The 15008-nt window shown below is 49.5% G+C and overlaps 2 pseudogenes; one reads left to right on the top strand and one right to left on the bottom strand.

Moving 5' to 3' along the window:
* Positions 10524-11075, bottom strand: PCMTD1P1 (protein-L-isoaspartate (D-aspartate) O-methyltransferase domain containing 1 pseudogene 1; annotated as a pseudogene).
* On the top strand, positions 12273-13312 carry DUX4L31 (double homeobox 4 like 31 (pseudogene); annotated as a pseudogene).

The raw sequence follows: 15008 nt of genomic DNA, 5'->3' as shown, positions 1-15008 counted from the left end.
AGGGCGGAGGTTCCCTAGGCAACCAGGTAGAGAGGGAGGGGCCTCCAGAAGGGAGAGAGAGAAACCCGTTGCCCCAGGCTCGGTGAAGTCCAGGAGACCTCCCTCTGTGTCACATCGACTTTCAATAACAGTGGCCACTAAGTGATGCCTGAAGACAACCGATGCCTGCAAGTGTCAGTCAGCACGGAAAAGAATGCATTTATTTATTTATTTATTTAGAGACAGAGTCTCACTCACTCTACAGCCCGGGCTGTAGTGCAGTGGCGCGATCTCGGCTCACTGCAGCCTCTGCCTCCCAGGTTCAAGTGATTCTCCTGCCTCAGCCTCCCGAGTAGCTGGCATTACAGGCGCCTGCCCCACCGCGCCCGACTCAATTTAATATTTTTAGTAGAGATGGGGTTTTGCTGTGTTGGCAAGGCTGGTCTCGAACTCCCAACCTCAGGTGATCCACCCGCCTCGGCCTCCCAAACTGCTGTGATGACAGACGTGAGCCACTGCGCCTGGCCTTAACCATGTATTTCTAAGTCGAGGAGCTTATCAGGGAAATACAAGAAGTAGGCATGCCACACATGACAGAGAGAAAAGTTGGAAAATGCCCCTTCCATCCAAGTGAGGATCCGGCCTCGACCTCCCGAAATCATGCACCGAGTGGCGAAGTCTAGCAAGGCCCGTCTGTCTAGATTCCTCTCGGCCTCTCTAAGCAGGTGCTTCTCACTTTCTTGGAAGAGGCAGGGCCCTGCCCAGCACGGGGGCTCTGACAGACTGACAGAGAAAGAGACAGACATAGAAAGACAGAGATGGACAGAGAGAGACAGAGAGAAACAGACAGAAAGAGAGACAGACAGAGACAGAGAGAGAAACAGACAGTCAGGGAGGGAGAGAGACAGAGAGAGAGAGACAAACAGAGAGAAATAAACAGAAACAGAGAGAGAGACAGAGAAAGAGAGAGAAACAGACACACAGAGACAGAGACAGAGAGAAACAGAAAGAGAGAGAGACAGAGAGAGAGAAAGGGAGGGAGAGAGAGAGATAGACAAACAGAAAGGCAGAGAAAGAGTAAGACAGAAGACAGACACAGCGAGAGAGACAGGCAGAGAAAGAGAGAGACAGAGACAGAGAGAAAGAGAGACAGAGAAAGACAGAGATGGGCAGAAACAGAAAGAGAGAGATAGAGAAAGAGAGAAACAGACAGACAGGGAGGGAGAGAGACAGAGAGAGAGACAGACAGGCAGAGAGACAGAGACAGACAGAGAGAAACAGACAGAAAGAGAGAGACGGAGAGAGTGAGAGAGAGAGAAACAGAAAGAGAGGGGGAGATAGAGACAGACAGAGAAGGAGAGTAAGACAGAAGACAGACACAGTGAGAGAGACAGGCAGAGGGAGAGAGAGACAGAGAGAAAGAGAGAGACAGAGAGAGATGGAGAGAGAGAAACAGAGAGAAACAGAAAGAGTGAGAGACAGAGAGAGAGTGAGAGAGAGAGACAGAAAGGGAGGGAGAGGGACAGACAAAGAGAGAGACAGAAGGGTAGAGAAAGAGAGTAAGACAGAAGATAGGCACAGAGAGAGAGAGTGATAGAGACAGACAGAGAGACTCAGAAAAAGAAATAGAGAGACAAACAGAGAGACAGAGAAAAAAAGAGACAGAGAGAGACAGAGAGAAACAGAGACAGACAGAGAGAGACAGACAGAGAGAAACAGTCAGAAAGAGAGAGACAGAGAGAGAGAGAAACAGACAGGGAGGGGGAGAGATAGAGACAGACAGGCAGAGAAAGAGAGTTAGAAGACAGACACCGTGAGACAGGCAGAGAGAGACAGAGATAGAGAGAAAGAAAGAGACAGACAGACAGAGAAAGAGACAGATAGAGAAAGACAGAGATGGACAGAGAGACAGAGAGAAATACACAGAAAGAGAGGTCCTGGCCCAGTAGCAATACAGTGTCTTTTCTTTCATTTTCTCTTTCTTTTCTGGTTTTCTTTTCTTTTCTTTTCTTTTCTTTTCTTTTCTTTTCTTTTCTTTTCTTTTGTTTTCTTTTCTTTTCTTCTTTCCTTTCCTTTCCTTTCCTTTCCTTTTCTTTTCTTTCTTTCTTTTTTACATTTATTTATTTATTTGTTTGGAGACCAAGTATCACTCTGTCACCCAGGCTGTAGTGCAGTGGCGCCATCCCGGGTTACTGCAACCTCTGCCTTCCAGATTCAAGCTATTCTCCCACCTCAACCTCCTGAGTAGCTGGGATTACAGCTGTCTACCTCACCGTGCCCAGCTCAGTTTCTTATTTTCAGTAGAGACAGGATTTCCCTATGTTGTCTAGGTTGGTCTTGAACTCCTGACCTCTGAAACACCCACCTCGGCCTCCCAAAGTGCTGGGATGACAGACGTGGGCCACTGTGTTCAGTGTACAGTGCCATTTCTTAGAAATCACTTATGGGAACACACACTTATATGTCATGTGTAGAGATTTTATTTATTTATTTATTTATTTAATTAATTTATTTATTTTTTGCACCAGAAGGTGGGGGGACAGAGTTTCGGTCTTGCTGCCCAGGCTAGAGTGCAATGGCATAGGGGACTCAAGGAGTCAACCTAAGGCAGAGAGGACACGTCATTCTGAGTGTAAGGGCCACAGCGAAAAGTGTCAGGGCCCATGCTTTTAAAGGCTGAAATCCCGGCAGCTCAGGCCTGCCATCCCAGCACTTTGGGAGGCCCAGGAGGGTGGATTGCTTGAGGTCAGGAGTTCAATACCAACGTGGCCAACATGAAGAAACCCCATCTCTACTAAAAATAGAAAAAATTAGCCGGCTGTCATGGTGCGCACCTGTAATCCCAGCTACAGAAGAAGAATCATCGGAACCTGGGAAGCAGAGGTTTCAGTGAGCCGAGAGAGTGCCACTGCACCACAGCCTGGGTGACAGAGCAAGAGAAACTCAGTCAAAAAAAAAGAAAAGAAGAAGAAAAAAAAAAGAAGAGTCCCAAATACTGCATTGTCGCTGAATGTTCCCCCAAAAGGCCGGAAACCCCCTGACTCAGGTCCAGGAGGTGGTGTTTCGTTTCACTTCTCTCTCTCTTTCCCTCTCTCCCTCCCTTCTCTCTCTTTCTCCCCTAACTTTCATTTCTTGTTCAAACATACATGTGCAAGATTGTTACATAGGTAAACTTCTGACGGGGGTGTTCAGTGTGCAGATGAATTCATCAGCCGGATACTCAGCGCAGTACTCAACAGTTTTCATGTTTTTTTGTTTGTTTGTTTTTTCCTGAAGCTGTCTCTCCTTCCACCCTTCCTCCCTCAAGTAGGCTCCCGCGTCTCTGGTCCCCCTCGTTCTGCCCATGCAGAACTCTCATCTATAAGTTCCCACTTATGGATGAGAACACGTGGTATTTAGCTAATTGTTGCTTTCATCTTCGGTGGTGGCGGTGAAAGAGGCATGACACTAAATAGACCCTTAGGACTCTCCCCTCCATTCCCACCCCATACCCCCTTCCCACACACACCCTCATTCCTGCACCCCCTCCTCAAATGCAGGAAAGGAAGAAAGACAAATTAAAGTAAGAGGTAAGCCTCCAAGGCGGTGGAGTCAGGGGATCTCAAAGGGTGAGCAAGGGATGGGCGTCGGGGGATGTCTTGGCTGAGCTTGCAACAATAGGAGACCGAGTTTCCAGCCCCACCACACCCCCTAATCCTCAGCCGCAGCCAGCCTCTGGGAGGGGTTGTGCCTGCAACAGCTTCTGAAAGGAGAGAAGCCCAAGGCGATGGAAGGCATCAGCTCCAACTCCAGGAAGGAAATAAGGCTTTCTGCATTTGAATGGGGCTTTAGAAGGCGGTGCTGCGGCTTCCAAATTGATGCCCCTTGCCTCGCCTCGCCTGGACCAGAGCGAGACTCCGTCTCAAAATCAATCAATCAATCAATCAATCAGTAATAAAAAAATTCATCAATGGAAGAAAGAAAGAAAGAATTAGTACAGCGGTCATGGTCTTGAATCATTCCCCAGAGTCCAGGTGCAGTGGCTCATGCCTACCACGCCAGTACTTTGAGACGCTGGTTCAGGAGGGTTGCAACAAAATGATGAGACCCTGTCTGTGGAAAAACATATAAAAATGAAGGCCAGGTGCAGTGGCTCACGCCTGCCATCCCAGCACTTTGGGAGGCCGAGGAGGGCGGATCACCTAATGTTGGGAGTTCGAGACCAGCCTGACCAACATGGAGAAGCCCCGCCTCTACTAACAATACATAATCAGGCAGACGTGGTGGCATATGCCTGCAATCCCAGCTACTCGGGAGGTTGACGCAGGAGAATCGTTTGAACCTGGGAGGCAGAGGTTGCAGTGGGCCAAGATCGCGCCATTGCACTCCAGTCTGGGCAACAAAAGTGAAACTCTGTCTCGGGAAAATAAATAAATAAATAAATAAAAATGATCTGGGCACAGTGGCACCTGCCTGTGGTCCCAGGTACTCTAATCTGGAGGCTGAGGTGGAAGGATCACTTGAGTCCAGGAGCATCCACGCTGCAGTGAGTGAGTTATGATGGCACAACTCCCAGGGAGACAGAGCAAGACGCTGTCTCTAAATCAGTCAATCAATCAATCAGATCACTGGAAGGCGCTGTCTGTGTCTTACTTTCAAAGGGTGTCTCTTTAGGCCAAGCAGGCATGGTGCCTCACACCAGTAATCCTAGCACTTTGGGAGGCCGAGGTGGGAGGAAAGAAGGAAGGGAGGAAGGGAGGAAGGGAGAAAAGAAGGAAGGCAGGAGGCAGTCAGGCAGGAAAGAAAGAAAAAGGAAAGAAAGAAAGAGAGAAAGAAAGAAAGAAAGAAGAGAGAAGAAAAAAGAAGAGAGAAAAGAAAATAAAAGAAAATGGGGAGGGGCATATCTCCTTGATTGGTAACTACCCAGGATACAGCTGACTGAAGCCTCAACCTGTGGGGCCTCAAGTGATCTTCTCCTTAACTCAGCCTCCTGAGTAGCTGCGACTACTGGTGGGTATCAGCACACACAACTCATCTTATAACAATATTGTGATTATTATTGAGACAGAGTCTCGCTTTGTCTCAATAATTGCCATGGCACGATCTCAGCTCACTGCAATCTTGGCCCCCCTGGTTCAAGCAACTCGCCTGCCTCAGTCTCCTGAGTAGTTGTGATTACAAGCTTATGCCACCAGGCCTGGCTAATTGTTCTATATTTCATCAAGATGGGGTTTTGCTATGTTGGCCAGTCTGGTCTTGAACTCCTGGCCTCAAGTGATCCACCCGCCTTGGCCTCCCAAAGTGCTGGGATGACAGGTGGGAGACACTGTGCCCGGCCCAGATAATCTTTTTAATAATTTGTAGAGAAGAGGTTTCGTCAGCCGCTGGGTAGAGGCTGGGGTGTGTTTTACTCAGACTGCATACTGTGAAAAGGGTAAATTAGTGTGGTTTGTGAACTAGATGTGGAAATTGCCTGTGTGTGTGTGTGTGTGTGTGTGTGTGTGTGAGAGAGAGAGACCAATCCCACCGTGAGGACCTGGAAGTGGTGTTTGATTTGGGACCCTGTCTAGTCACCTCTCTGTTTGTAGATGACTGAGGATTCCACAAATGAAGTTCAGAAGTATCTATTGAGCTGTTTCTCCCTCTCATGCATCTCATCTCTGTGGTGGAGAAAGGGAAGAAAAGAGGTTCTGATGGGAAGTTGTCTTCATGCCTGAGGAAGCTGAAGGCAGGCTGACGGAAAGGAGGGCATCCTATGTGACATTTCCATACCTGGGCACCCTTTACAATGCTGGGGCTGCCAGTCCACCATGTACGTCAACCAACCCCCAAGAACAGCACAGTCCGGGGTGATCCAGTCCATCCCATCCGGCCCACCCGGGGCATCTGGTGGAAGTCTTCGCTGGAGGATTCGAAAGGAGTGTCAACGCGGTTCCCTTGGGGTCGCTGGGCAAAGGCCAGCCAGAGGAGGGTGGCGGGATGTGAAGGGGGGCGGGGCATCGGCCTCAGAGCTCTCTGGAAGGTGGTAGGCAGCTGGTGGGGGATTCTGAGCCAGAGACGTCTGGCAGGATATAGATCTGGAAGCCGCATCTGTCCTCTCGCATATCTCTCCCATGGAAAATCCCATGGCGGCGGTGGGAGCCTTGGCTGGGGGAGAAGTGGGGACAAGGAGGAGAGGGAAGGAGGCCCTAGGGAGGATTTAGCAACAAAAACCCACCCAGCCAAGCTCCCTCCCTCCTATCGGGTCCAAGGTACACCCTGGGAGGTGGCAAGAGAAACGTTCACCCCTTGCTTTTTGTCTTTCTCTTTATTTTTTTCATCTTTTCAATTTTACAAGAGATGTTCATTTCAACAACTAGATGGTGGATGTGACGGGGGAAGTTTCAAGGCCAGGAGTTTGAGAACAGCCTGAGCAACTGAGCAACAAAAGTAGGAGAGCCCAGCTGAAAAAAATGAAAAAAGAAGGAGGAGGAGGACGAAGAAAGAAAAGAAAATTAAAGAAAAGAAGAGAAAAGAAAAGAAAAGAAAAAAGAAAAACAACCACCAAGAAAGTTAAAATTCTCCAATGGTACAGGCACAAAAAAGAGCAATTTCACGTCTTTTCCCACAACATGGATAGAGCTGGAAGCAAGTATGTACCCAGTGAACTGCCTTCTGCTTACAAGTGGGAGGTAAACAGTGGGTACGCACATGGTCATCAAGATGGAAATAACAGACACTCCAAAAGGGAGGAGGAGGGTAGGAAGGGGACGAGGAATGAATAAATCACCCGTCGGAGACAACGTTCACCACGTGGGTATTGGATACACTGGAGGTCCACTTCTACAACTGGAGGCAGTAGTATGCCGATCTAACAAACAAGCACGTACACCTCCTGAGTCTGTAAAATACCAAAACAATGATGACAGGACCAGCAGCAGCAGCAGCAACAACAACAACAAAACAGAAGCTGGAACACAAAACCACCACCACCACCAGAATCACCAGTTGGGGGTTGGGGGAGGGTGGCCATGCTCGAGGCCCTCAAGCTGAGTCCCCTCAGGTTTAAAAAAGAAAACAGCAGACTCATTCCTGTCTGTAGGCAGGAAACATCCAATCAAAGTTCTCCATTGCTAGAAAGGGAAGTAGAATAAGGAGAAGGGCTTATTGATCTTCTTGTGATCTATCGAGACCATACATGTAGTAAAAAATTAAATTCAAACAGCAATACTTTCTACACTGTTCAAAAGCATCGAAGATCGGACGCACCACACTCCATGGGGCTTGTGCCACTAGAAAGAAAAGGCAGGCCAGGTGCGGTGACTCACGCCTGTCATCCCAGCACTTTAGGAGGCCGAGGCGGGCAGATCACGAGGTCAGCAGATCGAGACCATCCTGGCTAACATGGTGAAACCCGGTCTCTACTAAAAATACAAAAAATTAGCCGGGCCTGGTTTGGGCACCTGTAGTCCCAGCTACTCAGGAGGCTGAGGCAGGAGGATGGCATGAAACCAGGAGGCAGAGCTTGCAGTGAGCCGAGATAACCACTGCACTCTGGCCTGAGCGAAAGAGTGAGACTCTGTCTCAAAAAAAAAAAAAAAAAAAAAAAAAAATAGCCAGACATAGTGCTGCATGCCTGTAGTCCCAGCTACTCAGGAGGCTGTGGTAGAACAGTCACTTGACCCAGCTGTTTGAGGCTGCAGTGAGCTATGATCATGCCACTGCACTCTGGCCTGGGTGACAGAGTGAAACCCCATCTCAAAACAAAGAACAACCAAAAACCTACAAGCATACTCAGAGATAGTGTGGGTTTCGTTCCAGACAACCACAATAAGGCAAATGTTACAATCAAGTTAGTCACATTAACATTTTGTTTCCCAGTGTTTATAAAAGTTATGCTTAAACTATGTTGTAGTCTAATGAGTATTTAATAATTATTAATTAATTAATTAGTAATCACATTATGTCTAAAAAACTATGTACATACCTTAACTTAAAATACCTTATTGCTGAAAAATACTAATGAATATCTGAGCTTTACCAAGTCATAATCTTTTTGCTGGTGAGTGAAGGGGTGGCCTACCCTTCCCGACTTGTGGGTATTTCTAGTCAGGTGGGATGAGAGACTGAGAAAAGAATTAAGACACAGAGAAAAAGTATAGAGAAACAACAGTAGGCCCAGGGGACTGGCACTCAGCATACACCAAGGACCTGAACCAGCGCCGGCCTCTGAGATCCCTCAGTTTTTATTGGTTATTATTTTTATTATTTCAGCAAAAGGGAATGTAGTAGGAGAGCAGGGTGATAATAAGGAGAAGGTCAGCAAAAAACACAGGAGCAAAAAAATCTATGTCATAATTAAGTTCAAGGGAAGGTACTATGACTGGACGTGCATGTAAGCCAGATTTATGTTTCTTTCCACCCAAACATCTCAGTGGAATAAAGAATAACAAACCAGCATTACTGCAAACATGTCTCACCTCCCACAATAGGGCAGTGTTTCTCCTATCTCAGAATTGAACAAATGTACAATCGGGTTTTATACTGAGACATTCAATTCCCAGGGGCAGCGAAGAGACAGTGGCCTTCCTCTATCTCAACTGCAAGAGGCTTTCCTCTTTTACTAATCCACCTCAGCACAGACCCTTTACGGGTGTCGGGCTGGGGGACAGTCAGGTCTTTCTCATCCCACGAGGTCATATTTCAGACTATCACATGGGGAGAAAACTTAGACAATACCCTGCTTTCAAGGGCAGAGGTCCCTGCGGCTTTCTGCAGTGCATTGTGCCCCTCGTTTGTTGAGACTAGAGAATGGCAATGACTTTTACCAAGTACACTGCTTGTAAACATTTTGTTAACAAGGCATATCCTGCACAGCCCTAGATCCCTTAAACCTTGATTTCATACAACACATGTTTTTGTGAGCTCCACGTTGGGTCAAAGTGGCTGGGGCAAAGCAGCACAACCTTTCCCAGATCCGGCGCCACTGGGGGAGCTGAAGGACGTGGAAGAGCCCACTCCGCTAGAACCATTCCTCAGCCAGGAAGAACACTTGGCTGTGCTGGAGGAGCTTTAGGACGCGGGGTTGGGGCGGGGTAGGGGCAGTGCGAAGGCCTCTCTTTTGCGGTGAACCTCTCACTCGATATGGAGAGGCGTGTCTTCCCTTCCAGCTGACCTGCCTAGGGTCCCTGAGTTCCAGGTCCCATGAGGGACTCCACTCAGAGGCAGGCTGTCATTCTTTTCTGAGCATCCCGGGGATCCCAGGGCCTGTCCAGGTACTGGGAGGCGGACTGTCTACTGCTCATGCGCGGGTTAGCAGGCAGCAGCCTAGGTTTTCTAACTAGCCTAGGTAGAGCTCTCATCCCTTCCCTCTTGCCCCCCACCTCGTTCTTCAGTGGGGCGGGCGGAGACCTCCATCCCGGGAAACACTGGCACGGGCAGACGCCAGGCCTGCTCTTCCTTCCGTGTCTCGAAACCTCTGCCTCCCCTCCCCACCGTCACTAGCCTACCCTTGCCCCGCTAGCTTCCTCGGCATCACCGTGGAGCGCCTGACAGCTAAATGCAGACCAGAGACCCCGCCCAAGCCGGGGTGCTGCCCTTTCTATGCGGGAGAGAATTCACGCAGAGATGGAGAGATGAACGGAGACAGAGAGAGAGGGAGCGATGGAGGGAGGAAAGAACGGATGGACCGAGGGACCTTGGAAAGGATGGAGGGATAGAAGGAAGGAGACAGGGACGGAGGGAGGGAGGAAGGGAGGAAGGGAGGAACTGAGGGAGGGACGGAGGGAAAGAGGGAGGGAGGGAGCAAGAAACAGAGAGAGGAAGGCAGAGAGAAAAGCAGTCTTCTGCCTCCAGGACCAGCAGGATCTCGCACTCCGGAAAATGTTGGGTGCCCAGTGCAGGCTAAGTGCTCGGCCCACAGCCGCGTCGGCCTGTGGGGCTCTCACTGGCCCTCTGGATCGCCAGCCTGGGTTACTTCATCCGGGAGCGATTCAGAAGAATTTCCTCTCCCAAGGAATGAGGGAATTGCCCAGAGAGCAATGAGCCGAGACTCGGGTGATTGTCCATTTTTCATCCACATGGTTCACAGATGAGATAGCCCCACGTTGAGCCTGCAACGGATCGCGAGGTGGATAGTCCCGTCCACATAGGAGTCACATTCTGGCCGACTGAAGCGTGGTTTTGGGTTCCACATTCCTTTGCCTTCTGCAAGGGGGCCTGTTGCTCATGCGTCTCTGGCCCCCAAAGCGTGACCATGTTGATTGTTTGTTTCCCGAGCTCTGTGGGGACACAGAAACCTCCAGAGAAGCGTGGAAAAGCAGCACCGTGTCTTCACTTTCCTTTCCAGTTTCCTGTTGGGAAACAGGCCATAAGTGGAGACTCCCCATATTGCAGGAAACAGGAATCCATCGTCAGGCCGTGATGCACCAGGCGTTTCTTTTCTCTGTAGTTTCGCCTTTGTTTTCTACATGAAAATGAACGAGATCCATAAGGAATCACAAAAGGATTTATAGCACACAAGTCTTCACTACTGTTACATTCCACTTTGAAATCACTCTGAGGTGAAACAACAATTTTCCAAGATATAAAGAAAAATAGATTTTATAAAAGGGATTCTTTTATTCACTCAATACATCATTTATGTTACTGACAGTAACAAGTGATAGTTTTTCCACTATAATTTGCTCTGATGAAATAAATAATTCTTTTAATTCCTAACAAATGCTACATTTTCAAGACTAAAGGAATTATCAGTAGTCATTCTTTCTTCTTGATCTAAGTTATTTGTCTCTAAAATATGTCAAGTAAGCTTTTAAAGATTCAGGGAGGGGCAGTTTCATGATTTTTTCTCTCAGTAAATTTTGAGGTGGCTCCTCTGGCTTCATCGCTTCACTGTGATCTTTTTCTTCCTCTTCTTTACTATCTTCTTCCATTTTTTCATCCTCCTCACTGTCTAGAGGCTGAGGAATAAGCTGATTACCCACAAATACGTGTGGTAATTCTCTGTTTAACTCTCTTTCTTTTCCTTTTGGGTGGAGCCCTTTGAGGAATACCCTTGGCCTGCATCTCATCATTTATGAAATTTCTAAGTGTGTGTCCAATGTAAATATGAGCCAAGTCCTGTAGATTCCTGACAGTGATTCCTTACAGATTTGTAGTGGTGAGGGTTAGATTTAATTTTATATAAGGTTTGAATAATTGTTAAGCTTATGTAACCTGATCTGAATTTGCACTTCCTCTATGAAAACTTCATTTATCTAATAAGGAAATCAAATGCTTTGTAGACCTATTTATCTTACTTTTGTTGCAATCACTGTTGTTGGGTTGCTGTATATATATTCCAGGCGATATATGAGTGTGATAACCATACAAAATATTGAATAATTTAGCTTTTAAAAATCCCACAAATTTTATGAAATTTTACAGCCCTTCTACTTTTGCTTTTGAATCTCTTGCCAAAAGACATGAATAAAATATCTGCTTCTCTCATAGAGATTTTAAGAACACAGCAAGTGAATTATTAAAATAGGAAGTATGTACTTAATACAACTCTTTATATGGACCCTTTACATTTTCAGTATTTTAAAAAATGAGGTTACCTTAACTCTCTAGAATTTTTAAAGTATATTTAGAATTGTTTTTTTCTATAGTTCACTGTATAAAGTATTTGGTTTTTTTAAAAAAGGAAAACCATTGTTACGTGTGACTCTTGATAGGCCACAGAACGAGTGAATGAGCATGAGTAAGGCCACTTTCTTAGATGGCTGTAAGTAGCTGTGACTTTATCATTGACTTTAAGAGGTAGAAATAAAAAGTTAAAATAAAAAAAGAAAATGAATGAGATCCACACACCTGCGTGTGTGAGACTATCACGGCAACAGCGACACCCACAGGCATTGCCGCCTTCACGGAGAGGGCCTGGAAAACTCAAGACTATCATGGAGGTTCAGTTCCACACTACACCCTTCCAGGGTGGTTTCTCCCTGAAATCGTGTGTGAGCCCACAGAGAAACTTCCAGTTTCCGTAGAATTCTGGAGAACTCAGGGAGACAGCCCCAGAAGCCCTCCTTTCCCAGATGATCTGGCCCCACCTTCACCTACCACACAAGGCCCTGTGTCTGTGGTTTCTGGACCCTTCAGAGGGCCATTACCCAGGGCCCTTGGGTGCTCATGCATATTCTTGAGGGGGTGAAGCTGGTGGGTCTTTATAAGGGCCACTGGCGGGGTCGGACTCCTGACTGGACCTGCGTGAAGCACAGAGGCCAATTGAGGCACACGGGAGCCGCCGGCCTCTCTCTGCCCATGTCTGTCTGTGAAATTCTGGCCAGGTGCCCTCGCGATGGCTCTCCCGACACCTTCTGACAGCCCATTCCCCGCAGAAGCCTGAGGACAAGGATGGCGAAGGAGACTCATTTGTAACCTGAATGAAAAAGATGTCCTGCCAGCATGCTTTGAGCAGAACCTGTACCCGAACTGGACAGAGAGACCGGCATTTTGGAGTCCAGGATTCAGATTTCATGTCATAATCGAAGGTCCAGGTATCCATGCCAGGGTGGCAGGGAACCTGCACACGCACACGGCCTGTGCAACGTGGCCCACCGGGGGTGTCACCCTCCCTCCTTGGTCGCCTTCACCCACGCCAGGGAGTGGGGAACAGGGGGCTTTCGTGAGCCAGACAGCAAAGGTCACCCCTCTGCTGCAGCCCAGCCAGGCTTTGCAGGCAGAAGGAATCTCCCAACTTGCCGCGGCACATGGGGATTTTGGGTTTGCTGCCCTGGCTCCTTCGGAAGTGGCACTGTCCTACCCTCAGTCACCTGGGTGACCTCCGCATCCGAACAGATGGCAGGAGGTCCAGGACCCGTAGTACGGTGGCTTTCTGGGTGGGTGCTCAATGGGACAGCTTGGGCCTCTCAGGCTGAGTCAAACAGATGGCAGAGGGACCAGGACCAGCAGCATGGCAGCCTTCTGGGTGCGTACTCAGTGGGACAACTTGAGCCACTCAGGCTGAGTCACAGGGGCAAGGTGTGCTTGCGCCTCACATGTCCCACATGAGTCCGTACTGGGTCTGCGGCCAGGGTCCACAGGTCACCAGGGCACGTGGGAACATGAATCCGAGGCACATCTACCTCCGCAGCTCGCGCCCATGGAGGCCTCTGCGTGTCAGGAGCAGATGTAAGCCATCCAGGCACCCTCCCAACAGCTCCAGGAGCTGGAGTCTTCATCTGTACTCGCATACACCCTGTTAGATGAGCTTCTGTCGACCCCAGAATTTCAGCAAAAGGCACAACCTTTCCTAGCAACGGAGCTACTGGGGGAGTTGAAGGACTTGGAAAAGCCCGCTTTTCTGGAACCACTCCTCAGCCTAGAAGAACACTGAGCTCAGCTGGAGGAGCTTTAGGACGCAGGGTTGGGACCTGGTGGGGGCAGGGCGGTGGCTCCCTCTTTCGCGGTGAACCTCTGGCTCGGTATGGAAACCTGTGTCTTCCCTTCCAGCTGACTTGTCTAGGATCCCTGAGTCCAGGTCCGGCGAGAGACTCCACAGAAAGGAGGTCTGTCATTCTTTGCTGAGCATCCCAAGGATTTCAGAGCCAGCCCAGGTACTCAGAGATGGGCTGTCTGCTGCTCATGCGTGGGTCCGCGGGCGGCCGGCTAGGGTTTGGGACCAGCCCAGGCAGGACTCTCATCACTTCCCCTGCTCCCACACGGCTTACACCCCCCCGCCCCCGCGTTCTTCAGTGATGTAGGGTGAGACCTCCACCCCAGGAAACACTGGCCTGGGCAGTGGCCAGGCCTCTTCTCCTTTCCACAGCTCAACTCCACTACCTCCCCGCTCCACCCTCCCGTGCCCACCCGTGCGCCGCCATCCTCCTTGGCATCACGTGGAGTGCCCGGCAACTAAATGTAGACCCCGAGATCTCGTGCAAACCGTGGTTCTGACCTTTCTAGGTTGGAGGAAAGCCAGGCAGAGATGGGGAAAGGAACGGAGACAAAGTGAGAGAGAGGGACAGAGGGAGGAAAGGACGGATGAAAGGAGGACCTTGGAAGGGAGGAAGGGAGGGAGGGAAGGAGGGAGAAAGGGAGGTATGGATGGAGGGAGAGAGGGAAGGAGAGAAGAACAGAGGGAGGGAGGGAGACAGGGAGGGAGAGAGGGAAAGAAGGAAGAACAGAGGGAAGGAGGGACAGAAGGAGAAAAGGAGCAAGAAACAGAGAAAGGAAGGCAAAGAGAAAAGTGGTCTTCTGCCTCCAGGACCAGCAGGACCTCGAAATCCGGGAAAATGTTGGGTGCCCAGTGCAGGCTGAGTGCTGGGCCCACGGCCGTGTCGGCTGGCGGTGCGCTTACCGGCCCTCGGGATTGCCAGCCTAGGTTACTTCATCAGGGAGCGATTCAGATGAATTCCACCTCCCAAGGAATGAGCGAATTCCCCAAAGAGCAGAGCCAAGACTCGAATGGTTGTCCGTTTTTCATCCACATGGTTCACAGATGACATATCCCCACGCTGAGCCTGCAACAGATCGCGAGGCAGATACTCCCATCCACACAGGAGTCACACTCAAGCCGAGTGAACAATGATTCCGGATTCCATGTTCCTTTGCCCTCTGCAAGGGGGCCTGTTGCTCACGTGTCTCTGGCCCCCGAAAGTGTAACCATGTTGACTGTTACCTCTAGCGAATCGTGGAAAAGCAGCATCGTGTCTTCGGTCTCCTTTCCAGTTTCAAAACAGGCCATTTTGGAGACTCCCCATGTTGCAGGAAACAGGAATCCGTCATCAGGACATGATGCCTCAGTCCCCTGCCCAGGGTCCAGGCCCACCAGGCGGTCTCCCTTTCGCTGACACTCCAGGCCTTCCCCCAGCTCGCGAGCTCCTGAGCTTCCAACACATCTGGCCGGCTCAGGACAGGGTGTGCTCGGAGGCATCAGGGTGCGGGGCCCACAGTACTGGGATCCCCTCTGGTCCTCCGCCTTGCCATGGAAAAATTGTTTTGGATCCCTCGCCACCCCTCCTGCAAGGCCCCCTCTTGCCCCACACACCCAGAGCTGCCAGGGCTGCCTAGGGGCAAACAGCCAGCCC

This window comes from Homo sapiens, chromosome Y (genome assembly GCF_000001405.40).
Source record: "Homo sapiens chromosome Y, GRCh38.p14 Primary Assembly".
Taxonomy (NCBI): Eukaryota; Metazoa; Chordata; class Mammalia; order Primates; family Hominidae; genus Homo; species Homo sapiens.
Note: the sequence above shows the minus strand (reverse complement) of the source record. Positions and strands in the feature narration are given on the sequence as shown.